The following is a 20,475-nucleotide window of genomic DNA, read 5'->3' as shown; positions in this document are numbered from 1 at the left end:
AAATATACTGGCCTACTATAGGATGGAAGACAATAATACAAACATTAAAGAATTAATAAACAAGGCAGAAGTACTCATGACTAGTAATGTAGATGTTTCAATTATTTAATTAAAATAGTTCTATTAAAATGGGATTGCAAGAGGCCTGGTTATATTTCTGATGTAATGGGTTCTTACAGAAGCAGACATGCCCATGGGCCTTTGTAAATAATAGAATCTCATCTCTGAAAGAAAATATGGAAGGCGTCATCTAGCCAAAGGGGAACTCCCATAGTATTCCTGGCCAGAGTGGGAGAGGAGGTAGAGGTAGGGAGTGTTGAATGTTAGAATGTGACTCAAAGACGGTGGGTTTTCAGCACATTCTAACATCGGATGGCTCTAATTAGGAGAGTGTCCATCTTTGTTCAACAGGATCCTCTATCTATAAGTTCAGACTTATAATTGTTTCCTAATTCTGTCTCCTAGAGGACAGAAATGACAGAAAGAAAATAAAATTTAGAAACAGAAAAATCAGATTTAAATTCTGAAGACATCACCATTAACAAGATTAGCTCAAATAATGTAGTATCTGAGCCTCAGTTTCTTCACTTGCAAAACAGTGATAAAATAGATACCAACAAAAATTATAAAAGTCAAATGAGATAATCATGTATAGTGCCTTATGAACGAAGTTTCTATACAAATAAATAATAAATCATGTGAACTCCAAAAATTACTTCTGACAGTCCCTAAATTATTTGAAAATAGCTAGCAAATGCCATCAAGGATCTTCGAAGAGGGAAAATTTCATATTCAACACAGAATGTATGAAGACATGCTACTAGCCTGAATATCTCCTTTCAAGTTCCAGTTTGGTCATGAAAACAAAGTTACTTGGTCATGTGCAATTCTAGGACAGTAGTATGGGTACCACTTTGATGCTGCTCATGGCTTCAGTAGAAGTCTGGTTAGGTTCTGACTTATTTTGGCAGTAAAGCTACAGCAATTCCTGTTGAGTGAGATGTGGACTGTGAGACAGTCAACTGTAGTTTCAAGATTTGTGTCCTGAGCAACGGGAAAGATGGACTTGCCATAAATAAAGATGCAGAAGACGGTGGGTAGAGCAAGACTAGCAGAAAAATTTGAGATGTTTATGAGACATCCATGTAGAGATATCAAGTAGTACTCTAACAAAATAAGAATTGAGAGGATCAAAAAAGAAAGATAGCAGTAATAAAGAATGTCAAAACCAACTTAAGAGTTCTTTGAAAATAATTCTCAGAACATTAGCTGTGTAACAGGTCTAGAAAACAATCACTCAAAATTCAAAAAGCCCCCAAGAATGTCTTCTAGAGAAAGAATGAAATGGATATACATAATGACTAAGCAACAGGATTATAGTGAAGTAAAAATACTTTTTTCTCTCAATTATGTAGAAGGCAATTAAAACAAAAAGAAAAATAGTATTTCAGAGTCGATGACATATGAAAAAACTGAAGGAAGACATGATGTTGAACAATCAGTACAATGTAAGAAAAAACAATCTCTTTAGCTTTTTTATGAGTAGCACAAGGGTTATATCACTGAAAGCTTTGAGAAAAAATTATAGTCACAGCTCTCCATTGGAAAAAAAAGTATGCAGTTATTGGTTTTCAGTGTTTAGAATCAATTTATAGACAAAATCTGAAAGTTATGGAATTTCTAAGACATTTTAAGTCTTCCCAGATTTTAGAATTTCACTTTTTAATCCCAGTAAGTTATTTCTATAATGGCATTCATAAAAGTTAAGTGCCTTTTTTTCAAGTAGCTAAATTTCTTTTCTCCTGGAAGAGCAAGTCAACGAGTAAGAAAACATGCACACACACACACACACACACACACACACACACACACATATAAATCTAACCAGTTGAATCAGAATTTTACTGGACATCTGAGCTCTTGTACTGTGAGTCAAAGTTCTTCTTCAAAAATATGTCAAAAGGAGACATTTCATCGGTACACTTCAGATAGCATAAAAGTATAAAGCTTCAAGCTTGACAGAAACTTTGGAGGAGATCTTATTCAAAGCCTAGGACTGGATGACCTCTCAAAGCTTTTATCTAACCTTGATCATCTAAAAGTATTCATTAAGCCCCCTTATGACAAAGGTTTTCAGCTAGACATTAAAATAGTGTTCATCCATTTTTCAAAGACATAATTCCAGTCTTTAGGATTGATTTCTTCAAAATAGTGGGAAATAGAGGCAAATGTCTTTGGATTTTTTTTTTCAAATATTAAACAAGAAGAAAAAGATTAATAAATAAAGTGTAGGTTTAAAAAATAAGACAAAACTTATTTGCCTTGTGGCACAGTATGAAAAAAGTCATAATTATGCCTGACCTTTAATCCACTAAAAACCACCTTTTCAAATTTGAAATGGAAAAATTTATTGGATACCTGGGTTTTACATGCAAATGGGAAAATATAGACTTTTCCAGGACAACCAACATCAATCAAATAGAAGATGCTGTTAAATGTGTTGTCTCCAGGACCCCTCCATTCAGACCAAAATGCTACTTGAGGCCTCCATTCCCCTTGGAGGGCAAGGTGGGAAGGGGACTGAACCCCACTTCTATTGAAGACTGTTCCCCAACAGGACTTCTCCCTGAGTGAAGGACAATAGTCCTTATGGCCACCTTCAGAGTCTTTCCTTGTTTCACTCGTTCCATGGTCCCACAATCCACCATGCACTTCAAGTGGACTACTTACTCCCCAAAATAGTTTGCTTTGTCTCTGAGGATAACTAGGTTTGCATTCCTATTGCATCATTTACTAGCATATGGATCCTGGGCAAACCACTTTAGCTTTATTTCGCTTTGATTTTCTCATGTATAAAACTAATTTAATGTTGGGCGTGGTGGCTCATGCCTGTAATCCCAGCACTTTGGGAGGCTGAGGCGGGTAGATCACTTGCGGTCAGCCTGGCCAACATGGCAAAACCCCGTCTCTACTAAAAACACAAAAATTAGTTGGGCGTGGTGGTTCACAACTGTAATCCCAGCTACTTGGGAGGCTCAGGCATGAGAATGGCTGGAGCCCAGGAGGTGGAGGTTGCAGTGAGCCAAGATCGCACCACTAAACTCCAGCCTGGGCCACAGAGTAAGACTCCATCTCAAAAAGAAAAAAAAAAACTACTTTAACATACCTAGTTCCTGGTTTCTTCAAAGAATAAAGAAGAAAACACATGTAAATACATTGTTCAGTATCTGGCACATAATAGTCATTCAATAATTATTAACCACATTCTCCAGTCATATATTTATGCTATTTTTCACATTAGGTAGTGATCCTGAAATAAAAAATATAGAGACCTCTGAGGGAAAAGAAACAGGTGATGTTTCCAAGAGATAAATGCATTAATTAAACCGTAATATTATTAAACATATTAAATGGTATAGGTGTCTTTCAAAATGGAGAGCAAACTCTTCTTAATCACTTATTTTACTTTCCATGCAGTGAAGGGGGCACATAAGAATCCATGGCACACACAACCAGGAGGATGAAGCAGAAGAAGGTGGGAAGCCCCATTTCTTAAAATTAAAGCTTATACTTGGGCTTATGATTACACATAGAAAGACAAAAATTTTATTTGCTCCTAAATGATCCTTGTGTTTTCGCTAAACAATTGAATAACCACAATATACCACGGATCCCACATTTCCATGACTGAAAGAACCTAGGAGATCATGTATTCTGCCCAACTTCTCCACTGAACAGCAGATGAGCTCAGGCAGAAAAAGTCCATTCTACAGCGATGTGTTGGGTACCCATTCTGTAAGAGGCATGGTGATCTGTATTTAACAAGGTCACCAAGGCCTTCTGACTTTCTGCTCAGGATCCTTCTAGGTTCCTATCTTGATAGCAAAAAATAAATTTTTTTCTCACTTGAGAATTAAAGGGCATGAATTAACATAACACCACAATAAACAATTTTATTTACTGGGATTGAGAGGTTCTGGAAAAATGGTTTTCTGGGTAGGTGGGAATGTCCAGAAAACATTTTTGTTAAAATCTGTGTTAAAAAAATTGCTTGTTAATCTATATTTATTGTATTGCGACATTTGTTTAAAGAAAAAAAATCTTTGAAAACTGAGGAGCTTGTAGTTCCCTGGGTGATCTTTCATCAATCTGACTATAGATGGAATCTGTATGTTATTAGATCAAATTTGTGGTGGATTCAGCATTCAATATAGAATTAGCAGTGTGTTTGTAAATAAATTCTTTTTAAATTTTTATCATTTTCTTTTTTTCTTTCTTTTTTTTTTTTCTTTTGAGATGGAGTTTTGGTTTGTTGCCCAGGCTGGAGGGCAATGGCGTGATCTTGGCTTACTGCAACCTCCGCCTCCCAAGTTTAAGCAATTCTCTCACCTCAGCCTCCCAAGTAACTGGGATTATAGGCACCTGCTACCATGCCCGGCTATTTTTTGTATTTTTAGTAGAGATGGGGTTTCACCATGTTAGCCTGGTCTCAAACTCCTGAACTCAGGTGATCCATCCACATTGGCCTCCCAAAGCGCTGGGATTACAGGCGTGAGCCACATTATCCCTATTTTATAAGTAAAGAAACTGAGACACAGGTTAAAGAAGTTACCCAGGGTCACACAGCCATTGAGTAGTATGGCCTTTATCATTTTCCTCTTTATTTTCAATACAGGAGAAAAACACTTTCCTAAGTTCTGATTTCAACAATTTTGTGTTTGTTTTTAATAAACTGTGGTATGGCCTCATTAATCTTTAAAAAAAAACAGCACAACTACCATTAAGCTGGTGCACCTTTCCCTATTTCCATCTATAGCAATGACTACTGCATAAACTAACATTTCCCAAAGCATGGTCCTCTGACACTGACTTTGTGAGATGCTGCAAGAAATAAAGATGTCAGCATATGATTGTCTCCTCCTGGAGACAGACACCTACATTGGATTAGCAAAGGATTCTCAAAGTCCAGCAGAAAAGAAGCCTGCTTACATTGTATGTGCTGGTGGTTCCCAAACTAACATAAAGCAGTACATGTCTTTAGCAGAGCATGTATTAACATCCTCTGACTTGCTTTATACAGAACAGACTGGGGAAGTTGGCTATAGACACACAAGAATGTGTCCTCTTCTCGAATGCAGAACTCAACAAAATTTAGGGAAAGCAAGAAAAATGAAGAAACATTCTTCAAAGTCAATTGGATAATGTAGTTAAAAAAAAAAAACAGCCTTGGGGTTGTTTATAATTTTTGGCTTATCTTCTACCCTGACCTCAGGGTAATTCCCTGAATTAAATGGTAGGCTTTCAGAGAGTGGAGACTAAAAACCATAGACATACGAATTAGCACAGATATGACATTCGAAACATGACAGAAATAACTTGAAAATAAAATTCAAACTGTAACCCATAGTATGCACTACTATGTAGTTAGAAATACTGGGTGCAGGCCAGGCGTGGTGGCTCACACCTGTAATCACAGCACTTCGGGAGGCCGAGGAGGGCGGATCAAACCGACCAACATGGAGACCAGCCTGACCAACATGGAGAAACCCCGTTTCTACTAAAAATACAAAATTAGCTGGGCGTGGTGGCAGGCGCCTGTAATCCCAGCTACTTGGGAGGCTGGGGCAGGAGAATCGCTTGAACCCGGGAGGCGGAGGTTGCGGTGAGCTGAGATTGTGCCATTGCACTCTAGCCTGGGTGACAGAACGAGACTCCATCTCAAAAAAAAAAAAAATTGGGTGCAGGATAAGACTGGGAAGGAAGAGCAAATGTGTGTGTCAGCTGTTGCAAGAAGACTACACCATTGAGCTCATCTTTCCAGAATAAAAGAATTCTGATGAGGAAAACTAATGTCAAGAAGCCACTGCCTATGCTCTTTATCTCTCTGTCTCCTCCATCTATCCCAGTTGGGGAAAACAAAGTCATGATGGAGCTAAGTGAAGTCTAACTCCACACATAATCAGAGAATAAACTGTCTAAACACAGTTTCTGAGTGCCCGAAACAAATGTGGCCATGCAGATCATTAGGGCATCTTCACTTCGTGCCCCTTTTAGCGACTCCAGCTGTGAAAGCAGCCTCATGGTGACGGCCCCCACCAAAACCCTGCTATGACAGCCCCACAGTCTTTCGAAGTAAGAGGCTTCACACATACAGACTCTCAGGGGGAGTCTGGCATATAAGAGTATCGTTGAATTTGGCTCCAAGGATTTTTTTTTTAGATGGAGTCTTGCTTCATTGCCCAGGCTGGAGTGCAGTGACATGATGTCGGCTCACTGCAACCTCCGCCTCCTGGGTTCAAGCGATTCTCCTGCCTCAGTCTCCCTAGTAACTGGGATTATGGGCATCCCCCATCATGCCCAGCTAATTTTTGTATTTTTAGTAGAGACGGGGTTTCACCATGTTGGCCAGGCTGTTCTCGAACTCCTAACCTCAAGTGATCCACCAGCCTCAGCCTCCCAAAGTGCTGGGATTACAGGCATGAGCCACCGCATCTGGTGGCTCCAAGGATTTAAGCAGTGACTTTAAAATTCAAAATATATTTAAGAAATGCAAATACAATTCTAATAATCATGTTAGCTAATATTATTTGAATGTTACCATATGCCAGATACTGTACTAAGTTTTGCAGGTTTTTCTCATTTAATCTTCATAGCTAACCTGTGAGATACAAGCTGTAATTATTCCCACTATACAGATGAGAAAAGGCACAGAGAGTTGAGGTAAATTTCCCAAGGCTGCACAGCTATCAAGGAAGGAGGGTGATGCTATTCCAATCTAGGAAGGCTGACTCCAGACTCTGTCCTCTTAATCTTGATACCATGCTGCTTCTTGTAAGCTAAACAAAAGCTTTGGTTTGCCAAAGTAAACAAAGACAAGGTCCTGATATTTCTTGTTTGTGTGGTGGCTGGGTGTGGGCTCTAGAGGGCAAGTGTACGAGTTCAAAGCTTTGCTCTGTCTCTAAGTGGGTAAGGGCCTGCGAGCAAGTATTCAACCTCACTAAAGTCTCAGCCTCCCCAGCTGTAACATATGGATCATAATGATCAGCATTCCAGGGCACTTACTATGAGCCACATATTCCAGAGCACTTTGCATAGATGAACATATTTAATTCTCACAACAACGTATGAAGAAGAGACTGTTATCTAATATTACCTAAATAATAGTAGGACTAAAGGTTCTCGCAGATATAAAGTACTTTGAAAAACGGCCTATCCATAAATGCTAGCCACAAGAGACATCATGAACATAGAAATAAACTGCATAACACATTATGAGGATCATTATTGTAATTTAAGAATGTTGTTACTAATCAGTGATCTGTTGTAAAAAAAAAAAGGGGGGGGAATCAAAGTTTTTAACAGTGCTTTAATGAGACATAAATTTATAAAATATTAACAATAAAAATGACTAGAAGACAGCTCTGTGATAGTGGTTACAGCAGCAGCTCTGCATACAGGCTGCACAGATCATATCAGCTGTTCTACTCAATGGCTGTGTGACCCTGGGTAACTTCTTTAACCTGTCTATGTCTCAGTTTCTTTACCTATAAAATGAGGATAATAAAAATGCCTGCCTTAATAGGATTATAAAATGGAGATAATAAGAAAGTTTGACTCACAGGACAAAGAGTTTTAAGTGAGCTAATATACGTAATGTACTTTGAAGAAAGCTTGGCAGATACCCAAAAAGAGTTAGCTATTACTAGGAGTACTATTGTTACTACTACCACTACTATGCAATTTTACTACCTAACTCAGTATATCTTGTGAGAGAATTATTAACCCAAGAGAAGAAATGGGGCACATGGTGTAGAGATCACATTTGATTTAAAATAAAAGCAACACTCCACATGAAGATCCAGTAACCCTATTTCCTGAAGTTTGTGAAAGGACATTCAGTCATTCAGTATGTTTTGTTCCTCTTTCAATCATGCCCCACCATTAATAATCTAAAATGGAAAACTTCCTAGGGTATTATTTTAAATGAGTCATTACTAACCATTATGATGCAGCCTGAAAATACAACTAGCACTTCAAAGAAAATTGAATTTGCTAATAAATTATGATAATTCATTTTACTTTACACAGGGAACGACTGACTGTTTACAGATTCATAGCCTAATAGCTCTTTCATTTTCAGTGTTGGAAAATGAAATATACCTCAAAGCATATGGTTATTCTGGAGACATATTACTAAATCTGATGCACCCTGACTAAAAAACTGTATGAGTGAACCATGAAATGTACAGCAAATGTACAAGAAGTTACCGTCAACAGTGGGCAGACAAGGCCTGGAGTCAGAACCAAGCACACTCAGGGGAAATGTCTAAAATGCATGCCTTTCCCCTAATTCCACTTCCTTACCCAGCCTCCCCAGACGTGGGTTCTGGATCAGAGGAGGAGTGCTGATCCAGATAGAAATTCTGACACACATTCAGTTGCTTTGAGAATTACCATAATTAATCTTAAACTGACAGGAGGCAAGACCAAAGTTCATGATGGAATTCGAAGTCTTAAACACAACTAAATTCCCTTGGCCCAAAGTGGAGCCACACATAATAAGCTGTTAAAAATCAGGATTATTGTTCAAACCAGCACTGGGATTCCAAGGGCAGTCCAGAATCACTAGGATTTGCTGGTTTCTTCTCAGAACACCCCATTTCTAAACACTCAATTTTGGCTTTGCCAAAACAAATGCAGTTTCCAAGGGGGAGCAGATGAGGTGTAAGTTGAACCATTACGCGTTACAAGTCGAATGTCTGAATCATTTGAGAACTAGCTCTCTTCTAGCAAAATGTTTTCCTAGAATTTTTTTCTGACTTATGTATTATATTAATGCTCTTCCCTACTCAACAAATTTTATCACTCACTAATAGACAACAAAATAAAAGACACACCACAAAAATCAGGACCAAGAAAAATAACACCCAAGCTAAAAAATATATCACAAAGTTAATATAATTGGGCCACAGATTCTGTTTTAAGCTTCCTGGTAGTCAAAGCAAGAAGAGAAAAGGTTTGCAAGAATTAAGTTAAAGGGATTGCAGATAGAGACCCAGATGTAAATGATTATTCAAAAATTACATGTATAAATATTTCCTTAATGTGGGTGTACTTAAGACTTACATGCGGATGCTACATGAAGGTTTTCCTTCACACTTCCCTTCCAGAGCAATGGCTGCTGCCCTTTCCCTTAGGCCCCAAGCCACTCCAGAAGGAAGTGGTGTCCTGCAGACGAGACAATACTTCAGTTTTTAAAATATGGTCAGTGTTTCCATTTTAAACCAAAAGAAATAATTGTTATTATTATTATTTGATGAACAAGCTTTGTGGTTTGGGAACCTCACATGGCACCTATAATACCAAGAGCTCAATAAATGTTAACTAACTGAATTGAGCTTTGTGGCTAATAGCCTGAACACTTACATTGCTCTACTCCATTATAAAGGAAAATTTGAAAGTAATGGCCTATAATGCATTCTGATTTGGCTTAAAAAAAATCAAAAAACAAATCACTTAGCGTTTTGAAATGTCGACTTATCAAGAACTCAGAAAGAGATCATTTGTTACTCCAATGCATTATGCAAAGCAAAAGGTCAGTAAACATGTGCTGGATCGGATTCGGCCCAATTCTTCAGGTATCAGCTATATAGTCACAATCCATTTGTTGTTTTGCTGTTATTTTTTTAAGAGTTTTCAGTGCAATTTTGAAGTACCAATATGTAAACAAAAGTTAAGAAACAGTGTGTGAAAGAATAAAGTGATAATCACATTTCTTTTTCTTTTTTTTTTTTTTTTGAGATGGAGTCTCGCTCTGTTGCCCAGGTGCAATCTGCTTACTGTAAGCTCCACCTCCCAGGTTCATGCCATTCTCCTGCCTCAGCCTCCCAAGTAGCTGGGACGTCAGGTGCCCGCCACCACGCCCGGCTAATTTTTTTGTATTTTTAGTAGAGATGGGGTTTCACCGTGTTAGCCAGGATGGTCTCGATCTCCTGACCTCGTGATCCGCCCGCCTCGGCCTCCCAAAGTGCTGGGATAATCATATTTCTATTGTAAGGAAGAATGGAGAGAACTTCCCATGCAGTGAGAAGCTACCCTGCATCCATCCTGGTCTCTGGTACTTACATGAACCTAAGTTAATCTTCACAATAATCCGATCATGTACACTCTACCATTATCATTGTTTCACAGATAAGGATACTAGGGCTCAAAGAGGTTAAATAATGTGCTCGAGATCACAGATACATACAGCAAGAGAATAGGAGCCCATTTATATGTAATTGCAAAGCTCATGTTATTCCTAGCATACCTTGAAAGAACATTCACATAGCAGAATACAGGATACTAGGCCCATTTTTCTAAATGAGAAAACCAAAAAAAATCAGAAAGACAAACTGGCATTGTAGTGTATGCTAGAGACAGAACTACAACTCGGAGCTGTTCTACCAATCACAGTAGGTTTGCTCTGAAAAGTGTCACTGACAGAGTGTCCGTGACATTCTGAAGACAGTTTAAGTTAATAAATAACAACAATGTGTTTTCCCTCTTTTCTTTTTACCATTTTTGGCTCATTGGTAAAACAGACTTTGTAAGCTTATTTGTGAATTCAACTATTGTACTAAAGTACAAAAGGACATAATTGAGATAAACTAAAAAATATAATAAATGGACTAAAAACACACCGTTTTCACAAGGGAAACCACTATTTTCTAGGCTGCATTCCCTAGAGCTAGAGAAAATACTTCTAATGAGCTTTGAGTAATCCCATAAATTGAAAACCTAACCTTGTAATGCCTGATAGTAATCTAAACTACTTAGCTATGTTTTGTATTATACCACAAAACAGTGGTTTGTTCATGAAATGTAACAAAATATCATGTGTTACTCATACTTTGGCCTTAGGCTTACATGTGTTGAAACCATAATCCCCAACGTATTTCAGAGTATGTTTGGACAACCAAAGTTACCCTACGAAAATGACCCAAAAGGAAAACCCTATTCCATTAAAAACACAAATTGCTAAGAGTTAAATGTTTAAGTATTGCCTAGAGTGTATAAGGAAGATTTAAAATATAGTGTTCATTTTTCCCACTTAAAAAAATGAAAAAGGAACATTCAGGAACGATGCAGGAAAGTTGTAAATTAGCTATATCCTGATCTACTTCATGTATGTTACATTACGTAATGTGGAAGAAACGAGATACTACATCCCAACAAAAGGCTGTTTGATACAAAGAGCTTCAGATTCAGAGAGAAAGGGGCTACCTTGGTTCTAAATTAGGAAGACGTTTCAGGGTAATGCAGAATATCAGAAACTAATAATAGAACTCACAGGTTGAAGACCCTCAAGTCAAAATACCTGAAGCCCATCTTGGAAATATTCATGGACATTATTGAGGCCATAAATTCTCCATAGACAGGGCTATGGTAGTTAAGAATGTGAGCAGCAGTATCAGGTAGAAACATGTCTAAAACCCAGTTCTGTAATTCACTAGGTCTATGGCCTTAGGAAAAGCACTTCACCTCTCTGGGTCTGAATTTCCTCTTTTCTAAAATGGATACTTTTCTCCCAGAGTTGTGAGGATTAAATGAGATGGTGTATGCAACATGCTTAGTAAATTTCCTGGCACCTAGTATGCACTCAACAAGTCTTAGCTACTATTATTGTTGTCATTATTATTGTTTTATGAATAATCTTCATGATTTGGGGACTTAACAGGGTAACTATGATAAAAGAGCTCAATACATGTTTACTAATTGAACTGAGCTCTGTGGCTAAAAGCTTGAACACTTACATTGCTCTACTTAATTATAAAGGTAACTTTTAAAGTAACATCATCCAAACTCTGGGAAATACTGGGTTGGCCATCAAATAAGACTGGGAAACGCTAGGTTCCTGCAGAACTTCTCAGAGTCTTCAATGTCACAAGGTAAATTATAAAATTCAGCCAGGTGTGATGGCTCACACCTGTAATCCCAGCACTTGGGAGGCCTAGGTGAGAGAAGCACTTAAGCCCAGGAGTTTGAGACCAGCCTGGGCAATATAGTGAGACCCTGTCTCTACAAAAAATTTAAAAATTAGCTGAGTGTGGTGGTGCATTCCTATAGTTCCAGCTACTTGGGGGGCTGAGGTGGGAGGATAACTTGAGCCCAGAGGTTGAGGCTGTAGTGAGCTATAATTGTATCACTGCACTCCAGCCTGGCTGACAAAGTGACACTCTGTCTCAAAAAAAAAAAAAAAATCCAGAAAAAGCATACAATAAAGCCTTCAGTGTTTCTCAAATTTATTGCACAGATTCCTCACCTGGAAAACAATTTTACAACATGATCTCTACATTCCTCCCTCCTAATTAAAAGGTTAGAATATCAAGCATTTTTCTGATCAAATTATGCATATGAATACATAAAAAGGATGATTCTTCTTCGAAAGCAAAACAAATTAGAACTTTCTGCATTTTCCCTTTCCAAGGCCCACCCAAAAAGGACTCAATCTCTGATGCTCCATCATGTATATAACTTAATCCTTTAACTTAAATAGATCAAGTTCATCTAGAGTTTATTTTTAAGTCATTTCTGATTTAATATGGCTTTTTAAAAGCTTACGTTGGTTGACATTAAATCCTAGATGTTAACGCTGACAGGTTCCATGATAAAGACTTGATCATGTAAGAGTAAAACATTTTTTGAAAAACTTACTTTTTAGTAGGTTTCTTATTAAGACAAAATGTTACCCAAATCCAAATCCTCAACAATGTTTAATGTGGTAAAAGCAGTTAATGAAACTGTCACTTTAATCTCCTAAGTAAAAGGGAAGCAGGAAACAAGGAAAGGCTCCATTTGCCTCTATTCCCCTGTATTCCACACAAAGACGCTTCCTGGATGCTCTAGGATCCCAAATCTCGCCCTTTTGCATTTTCTCTCTCTGAGCTGAAGACCCTGTTTCCATCTGTGTAGTGGGTATCCTCACACGTGGTCGCTTCAGTTTCCATATGCCCAAAGTGAAACTCACGACTGCAGCACCAAACCTTTCTCAGCTCATCCTGTTATCAGTGTCATCCACACTTTCAGTCTTCTTCAATGCTTCCTTCTTTGTCATCCTCCACCTTCAATCAACTTTCTGCCTCTTAGAAAGCTTTCCCGTTAATCCTTTCTCCAGGAGCCCCACTCTCTTTGTCCTTCTTCTTTTGTCTTTTCTGCTCCAACAGAAGGTAGACAGCTTCCTGTTGCTATTTTTGACATTCCTCTACCCTCTATCCATCCACTACCTTCCTGAGAGATGTTTCTAAAATGAAAAGCAGCCCTCACACTCTCCTAGTGACAGTCGTTCAACGACTTGCCTTCTCCGACTGAATACGATGCAATCTGCTCAGCATGCTAGACAAGGCACTGCACAAACTGATTGTAACCTACCACTCTAGCCCACCTCTCACCAAGCTCCACTCCTTGGACTCCAGCCTCTCAAAAGGCCCTGTGAGACACACACACACCATTTCTTCTACCATCTACTATCTGCCACGCCCAAACTTGTCTTACTGGCAAACATACAAGTATCTTTCAAACATACAAATATCTTTTAATACTTACCTCTCACCAGCCTGCAGAGCAGATCCTAACTCCTACCCCTTCATAGTGTTGTTATTCCCATCTCTGTGTTTCCCTCGCAATTAATATCTTCCTTTATTAGTGTGTTTTTTAAGTTCTCCTCTGGACGGAGTTTCTCAAGATTGTAGGTATTCTCTTTTCTCCTCCATTTCTGACTGCTCTCTACAGCCCTACACAATGGCAGGTACATAGTCGGTGCCCATTCATGTCTGTTCAGTGACTGAAAAATAAATGAATGAATCAAATCCAAATAGATTTTAAGGCTTTGATTTTAGAAAGAGCTATGTTAAACATAAGGAAAGCCACACAAATATGCCAAATCTTGTATTCTCCAAAAAAACACGGAATATCTTGAGTGGAAAGAGTGAGTTACTAGGTAATTCTTTGTGTGGGTCCATTTGTGTCTGTGAACATAAAGACGTACACTTTGGTGTATTGTGCCACTGAACTGAATGTCATCAGAGCAAATGTAAAGCCCCATTCCACGATGAAAGGAAACTGGTGGCTCTGAAGTTGATTGGAGTAAAACATAAAGTAAGTTATCATTTGTTTCTTTGACATAAAATTTCCCCAAATAACTCAAGGCTGTATTTCCATGGCCATCGTCTTATGCTGGTAGAGCATCACTCCTGAGAGGAAAATCTGCCCCCGTGTTAGCAAAAGCTTGAAATTCTTTAAGCCAGGCGCTGAGAGGCGGACGCGTGTGCTGCTCTGCCCAGCAGAGGGCACACAGCCCCCAATACCGTGCAACGCCGGCCATCAAAGCGGGCTGGCAGGACTGGGTGAAGTTGTTCAACAAACCCAAGCCTTTGAATCCGGGTCAGCGTGCTGACCTCCTGTCCTTGCCTGCTCCTTGGCATTCTGTTCTGTTCTTCCCACTCACAATGAGGTGTTAGTGAACCTCAAGCTCTCAGGCAAACCCGTTTGGGAGCAAATAGGGAGAGGGCAAAGGTGAGGCTCTTCACTCAGGAGTGTGATGATTTCTTGGAAAAGGAAGCTTTAACTCACTCCTACTTGGCCTTACAGTGACAGAAAGCACCCTAAACTGGCTATAGCCTACATTCTAATTCTTTCTTTCTGTAAGTGAATAAGGGACGATCAAGGTGGGGGTTTTCAATAGGCCCCTGTCCCCAAACTGAATGAAAATGACTCTCTACTCTTACTGATTTGGTTTAAATATCTTAGGCATCGGAAGTGTAACGTTAAGATCACTAGTCTATTAAAAGGCTCAATGGCATAAAGTCCTTCACCTAAATACGTTATTTATACTTAATGAGCTTGTAGAAGAGGAGCGAAAACATGACATCCTCTCACATTCTAAAAACAGATGCTTCTGTTGATCTATGTAAGAGGAAGGGCCAGTGATCTAGAAAGAAAAAATTAAAAATACAAAATAAACCAAGCAGATTCATGTAACATTCAAGGAAACCTACAAGTTCCCACGCTTTTTCTGAGAAAAGCAAGGGACCATCATAGGCCTTGCAGGGAGATTGCTTGTCTGCTCTGTTAATCATGAAACTTGTTAAGAGGGAGGAGATAGCAAGGGCCTCGGGCGAACACTCAGAAAGATGTCACAAAATACTTTTTTTCTTCCTTCAAAATATGCCTCAAGCACAGAAACGAGAAGCCTGCCCGGAATTTTACCCCCACATTGAGGAACCTCCCCCACTCCTATGCAAAGGTCTAGAAGCAGGAGGGAACATGGCTACTGAAAAATGGTGGCCACCTCAGGATGGGCTAAAGAACAAAGTGGGGACTGGGGATAATGAAAGATGAAGGTTGGTGTAACTCACTGTAAATAGCGCTAAGGATATTATCTATATCTTAAACTCACGAGAAGCCACTGAGGAATTTTAAACAGGGGAATGACATGAGCAGATTTGCATGTTGGGAAGATCATTCTAGAAATAGAAAATAGTGGGGCAAGTTTATGCATATCAAACATGAAATGTCAAATTAAATTTCATGCTTACTAATTATGATAGGGCATGGCAAGATCATTAACTTATTTTTGAAAAGCAGGACATACCAAATAAGAAGGGGAATTTTTCTCATTTCTAGTCCACTTGACTTACACCCTAAACCCAGGGCCTCATGCCTTGAACAATGCTAAGGGCTACTATTTATGCAGACCATAAGGCTGAGAACCATCTAAATCCAGAATAAAATCTCAAGGGATTTGAGATTTTATCAGTACTATCCTACTTTCAAATCATAAAAGTATTATTCATTATACAGGAACTTAATTACACAAAAAAACTTATGGAACAGCTACTATATTTAATCCATTGTACTAGACTCTTTTGGGAACTCTGAGATCAATAAAATGTAATCTTTGTCTTTAGAAATTCAGAGACTACTTCAAATCAAGTAGAGGAAATCACTTCTTTTTTATTGGGTTTATGGGTAACCTTGGGCACACAAGAATACCAAAGAAAGCACTTTCGCTATCATTATGCATTTGTCATACATATTCCTATGTATCTAAACCCTTTTAGTCTCTTAACATCCAATTATTCAAGTGTAAATATAGAGTCTGAACTTTGGAAAATCAAATTTAAATCAACATATTTTCTATACTCTCAGGTTGCATTTCTTTGAAAAATAGAGGTTACATATTCTTAAAAACACATGAGCACCAACTAGAGGATAACTGTAAGTGAAGAATATATTTAATTCATCCTAGAATTTAACTTCCCTAGAAGTTCACATGAGAGTTCTGTTCCCCTCAGTCCTATTTATGCTCAGAATTACTATGCCAGCTCCTTGTTCCAACATCCCATCACTACTGCAGTTCTGAAAAGCAGCCACCCAAGACTGTTTGGGAAATTTCTACCATTTCTAGAAGAAAGTGAGAATATCCTAAGAGTGTCATCCTGTTGGAAAATCCTACCACTACTATGAATAATGTCTAGGATGGGATTGCTAATCCCATGGAAGGGAGAGATAGTACATACACCTAGAAATGATTAGAATGGATGACAAAAAGAACAGAAGATCCCAGAAGGGAAGGAAACAGTTCCAGTAGGTTTTCATGAGGACACTATGACTTCCTACTGTTGCAAGCCAAAAGAGTGAGGGTCATGATCAGCTCTGTATACCACTGGAGGCTATATGAGTAAACAGCAAACTGTTCTCATGAAAGCAGGATGTTGGCAAACTGACAAACTGAGTCTGTGGTCCAGAAGGAATACTGAGGGCAGTCACAACCCAGGCACAAGTGTTTCTTGTGAATAGACACATCTGAAGCCTGTTAGCAATAATGTGAACCTGTGATCAGTCAAGCAGCTGACCAGTCGTTACCTCCTCCTCCCTGCTCTTTCTACCCAATAAATACGAAGGGCTGTAAAGGCTCAGGGCTGCTGTGTTTGCTCACCAGAAGCAGGGAGCCCTCTTCTTCCCCCCGACAGATCCCTTCATTAAAACAGTTTCTTTTAAGTTTTCATTTCTGGGTTCATCCCCCTTCATTCAGTCCCGTGGTAACCATGGCAAAGCACAGCATCCTACTGCCTCAGTAACTCAGGTTTGGGGGTTGGTTGGTTGGTTTTTCCCATGGCTTAAGTATATAACCATGGTTTGAGGGTTGACCTATAATCTGATCCTACATTACAGCAGACACAATTGAGAGAGGAAACAAATCTATTTCACTCAACAGAGTTGGGCTGAGATTACTTAAAGTGAAACCATGTTTAAAATTCTAAGTATTGTTATATGAAGAGGTCTCCAAGGTAAAAACTTGAAAGAGTATGTCTATAAAAGTCCAAAGAAACTATTTCTAAATGAAAATGTTGAGTGCTTTAAAATGCGAACTCTCAGGCAAAGGGCAATCCTTTTTTAGATACACTTTGAATTTGGCAATTTGAAGGGTTAGATCTTATTTGAAGGGTTAGATCTTAGAAAAAGGGTGTCCAATCTTTTGGCTTCCCTGGGCTACATTTGAAGAAGTATCTTGGGCCACACATAAAATACACTAACACTAAAGATAGCTGATGAGAAAAAAAAAAAAAAGTCCTCACATTTTAAGAAAGTTTACAAATTTGTGTTGGGCCACATTCAGAGCCATCTAGGCTGCGAACTGTCTGCAGGCCGCATGTTGGACAAGCTTGTCTTAGAGGCTTAGGCTTTCTCATGCAGAGCTGCTGTTGTCAAATACTAGAAGACAAAGCGTAAGGTTCCTGTGATACTCCACATCATGGAATTTCATGGTAATGAACCACAGCATAAAGCCAGGGTACTTTGTGGTTCATGTAAGTATTTCCACAACAGACTCAAAACCTTCAGAAAATGTTTCTAAGCAGTATTATTTTATCACTCAGAAATCCATTACATGAGTACCTCAAAGATTTGTGGCAAGGACATGTGTTCTTGACGGTTACAGTCCACAGGGGAACCTGGTGTCTGCAGATCCCAGATCTCTCCCTTTGCCAATCAAATGAGCTAGGAACTTCAGGTCAATACAAGACAAAAGGTAAACTAGAATAACAAGGAGTTTTTAGATTGTACACCCCAATGCCAAACTCTACAGATTCCCACCTGGAAGCTATTTCCTAAGACATCCAAATAGCAAATACTGAACTATTTGCTACTAATACATCTGGCCATTCAAAGGGTCCTGCACATAGATAAACTAAAGAAATTTTGTTTGCCTACTACCATAAGCAGTTTTGAACTTCATATAAATATGGGACTTAAAAAATATCCTTTTCTCCTCTTTCTTTCTAGAACTGGCTTCAGATTTATAGTATTCCATTTATGTTGCTATATTAGAATGACAGTGGTACATTTCATGTTTTGACCAAAAACTATTGGAACATAGTGTTGAACATAAGTACCTTAAAAAGTACTTAACTGCCCCCTCCCCCATATCAAAGTAAAGATAGCTTAAAAACAAAACAAAATTGTCTCTAACTAGACAATTCTGAGCATCATCCTCATGCCACAGACATATCTACTCCCTTTATATGAAATGAATGCTTATTCATTTGAATCCAATCCACAAGTCTTATTAAAAAAAAAAAAAAACTCTCTACCTTGATTCTTCAGAAATTCTGAATTCACATGTCCCCTTGATCAAGAAAAAAAGAAAAGTGGTTTACTCTGGTTTTCATGATTTCTACTTCCCAAAGGTATTTGAGGCTTCAATTTTCAAATCAATTAGGAAGTTAAAGTCTCCATGTCTCTCATCAAAGAAAAATGAACAGAACTTGTTACAATTATATCCCCCAAACTGATGTGAAAGCCCTGGAGATTAAGCAGATGCACAGAGGTTCTCTAATAAACCTTGTAACATTAACAAAATGAATACCTTAGATGACATTCTGCAAACCATGTGTTATCAGTCAGCCCTGGTAACCCATTCATCTAGCCACAATGATGCCTGGGATTTGGGTGAAAGTGTTTCCAGCACAACTTTGTTGGTTGGGCTAATGGGAGACTTGCATGAAGTAACTTTCTTAGATGCACAGAAATCCAGCTTGAGTCTACATTGGGATTCACACACACATAAGAAATGAGTGAACAGGAACTCTGTTGTTGGAAATTTTTGCTCTGTTTGTTTGGGGGAAGGTTCCTGAAAAAGAATAATGAAATGGTTTTGCAGACACATCCAGGAAGAGGCTGTGACTGGCAGAACAGACTGCTTTCAACTTCAGGTATGGGTCATAGTACCAGTCCCATAGAAAGAAGAACTGCTGACGGGCACAAGAAATGTTTCTCCAGAGCCCAACAGACAAAATATAACTGCAAAGAGGAAGAGAAGCATTCTCCTCACATGTGACCTGGTGCAGCCTCCTCACAATGAGAAACGCAGGTATCCCGGCACCCTACGGGCACTTTGGAAGGGCTTCCAGAGCACATGGTGCCGGTTCTTTGAATGCTGAGACCAGTATCCATATAGCACTCCCACTCAGGCACTACCCCTACTTGACTTCCTGGGATTTGGACTCCAGTAAGGGGAGCTAGAGTGAGGAAAATAAGAAAGGACTGCTTGAAGGTATAGCTAGAGGCCCAGAGTTACACCAGTGGGTAGAAAGCAATACTACAGTTTATTATGTATTATCAACAAGCTGGTAAGCCTGGGGAAACTTAGCTTAGAAATCAAAAGCAATTGGGTTTTAAGTTTGTTTCTACAAGGAGTAAGAGAGAATATTAAAGAAAATCAGACGGGCAGTTTGGAGGAAGAGAATGAAAACTTGTAATCAATAAGGTGACTTATATTACCCAGAATCATGCTCATACAGGAACTCTTATAAAATGAATCCATTCTTAGGAGGACTGAAAGGCATTCCAAGGGACCAGCTTTGGTGCTGAAGTTAATATGACCCTCAAAGCAAAAGCAAGTAAACCACTGCAATTTGGTGTAAAAAGCATGGCTATCATCTACCCTCCCACACTTCATTTCCTCAATTTTAAATAAAAACATTCCTTACCCTTCAATTTACAGCGAACAATTTAATTTCCTAATTAATGAGAATACACACGCTACCCACAAACTTCTGAGAAACCCTCTCCCAACCCTATGGTATCCTGTGGCAAGGATAATATTGGGTAGCAAGCAAATCTCGAGCACCAGCTTCTGAGGCTTCCCTTAAAGTGTCGGTTTCAACCTCCCTCTCTCATCTGACCACAAAACAGACCTGCTTCCCGTGGCATCGGAAGTTGGCAGCAGCAACAAGAGACAGTATTTCATTTAGAAGGAAGTGGAGAGGAAGGTAGGCCCCATTTAGGTTCCCCTTACAATTCCAACTCTTCAGCCACCATTAAGTTTAGAATCGTGGACAGAAAAGAAGATGGTCTTGGAGATGAGAGAGATGCTCTTATTAAGAATCATTATCCCCTTGTCAGTATTTTGACGGTCTAATATTCTCTCTCTCT

The 20,475-nt window shown here is 38.9% G+C and overlaps 1 protein-coding gene across 18 annotated transcripts in view; it reads right to left on the bottom strand.

The window, feature by feature from the left end:
* SUGCT (succinyl-CoA:glutarate-CoA transferase) overlaps positions 1-20,475 on the bottom strand; it is a 903,812-nt gene that overhangs the window by 419,468 nt on the left and 463,869 nt on the right. The window contains exon 13 of one of the 18 annotated variants that reach the window (XM_017012622.3): positions 6,437-13,822. The exons of the other annotated variants lie outside the window; for them this stretch is intronic. Coding sequence (XP_016868111.2) covers positions 13,625-13,822 — 198 coding nt within the window. The 3' untranslated portion in view covers positions 6,437-13,624. Of the gene's footprint in view, positions 1-6,436; positions 13,823-20,475 lie in introns of those variants that run through there. 18 annotated transcript variants of the gene reach the window in all.

The sequence above is a fragment of the Homo sapiens genome, chromosome 7, assembly GCF_000001405.40.
Source record: "Homo sapiens chromosome 7, GRCh38.p14 Primary Assembly".
NCBI classification, from domain to species: Eukaryota; Metazoa; Chordata; class Mammalia; order Primates; family Hominidae; genus Homo; species Homo sapiens.
This window is presented reverse-complemented; position numbering and strand designations above follow the sequence as displayed.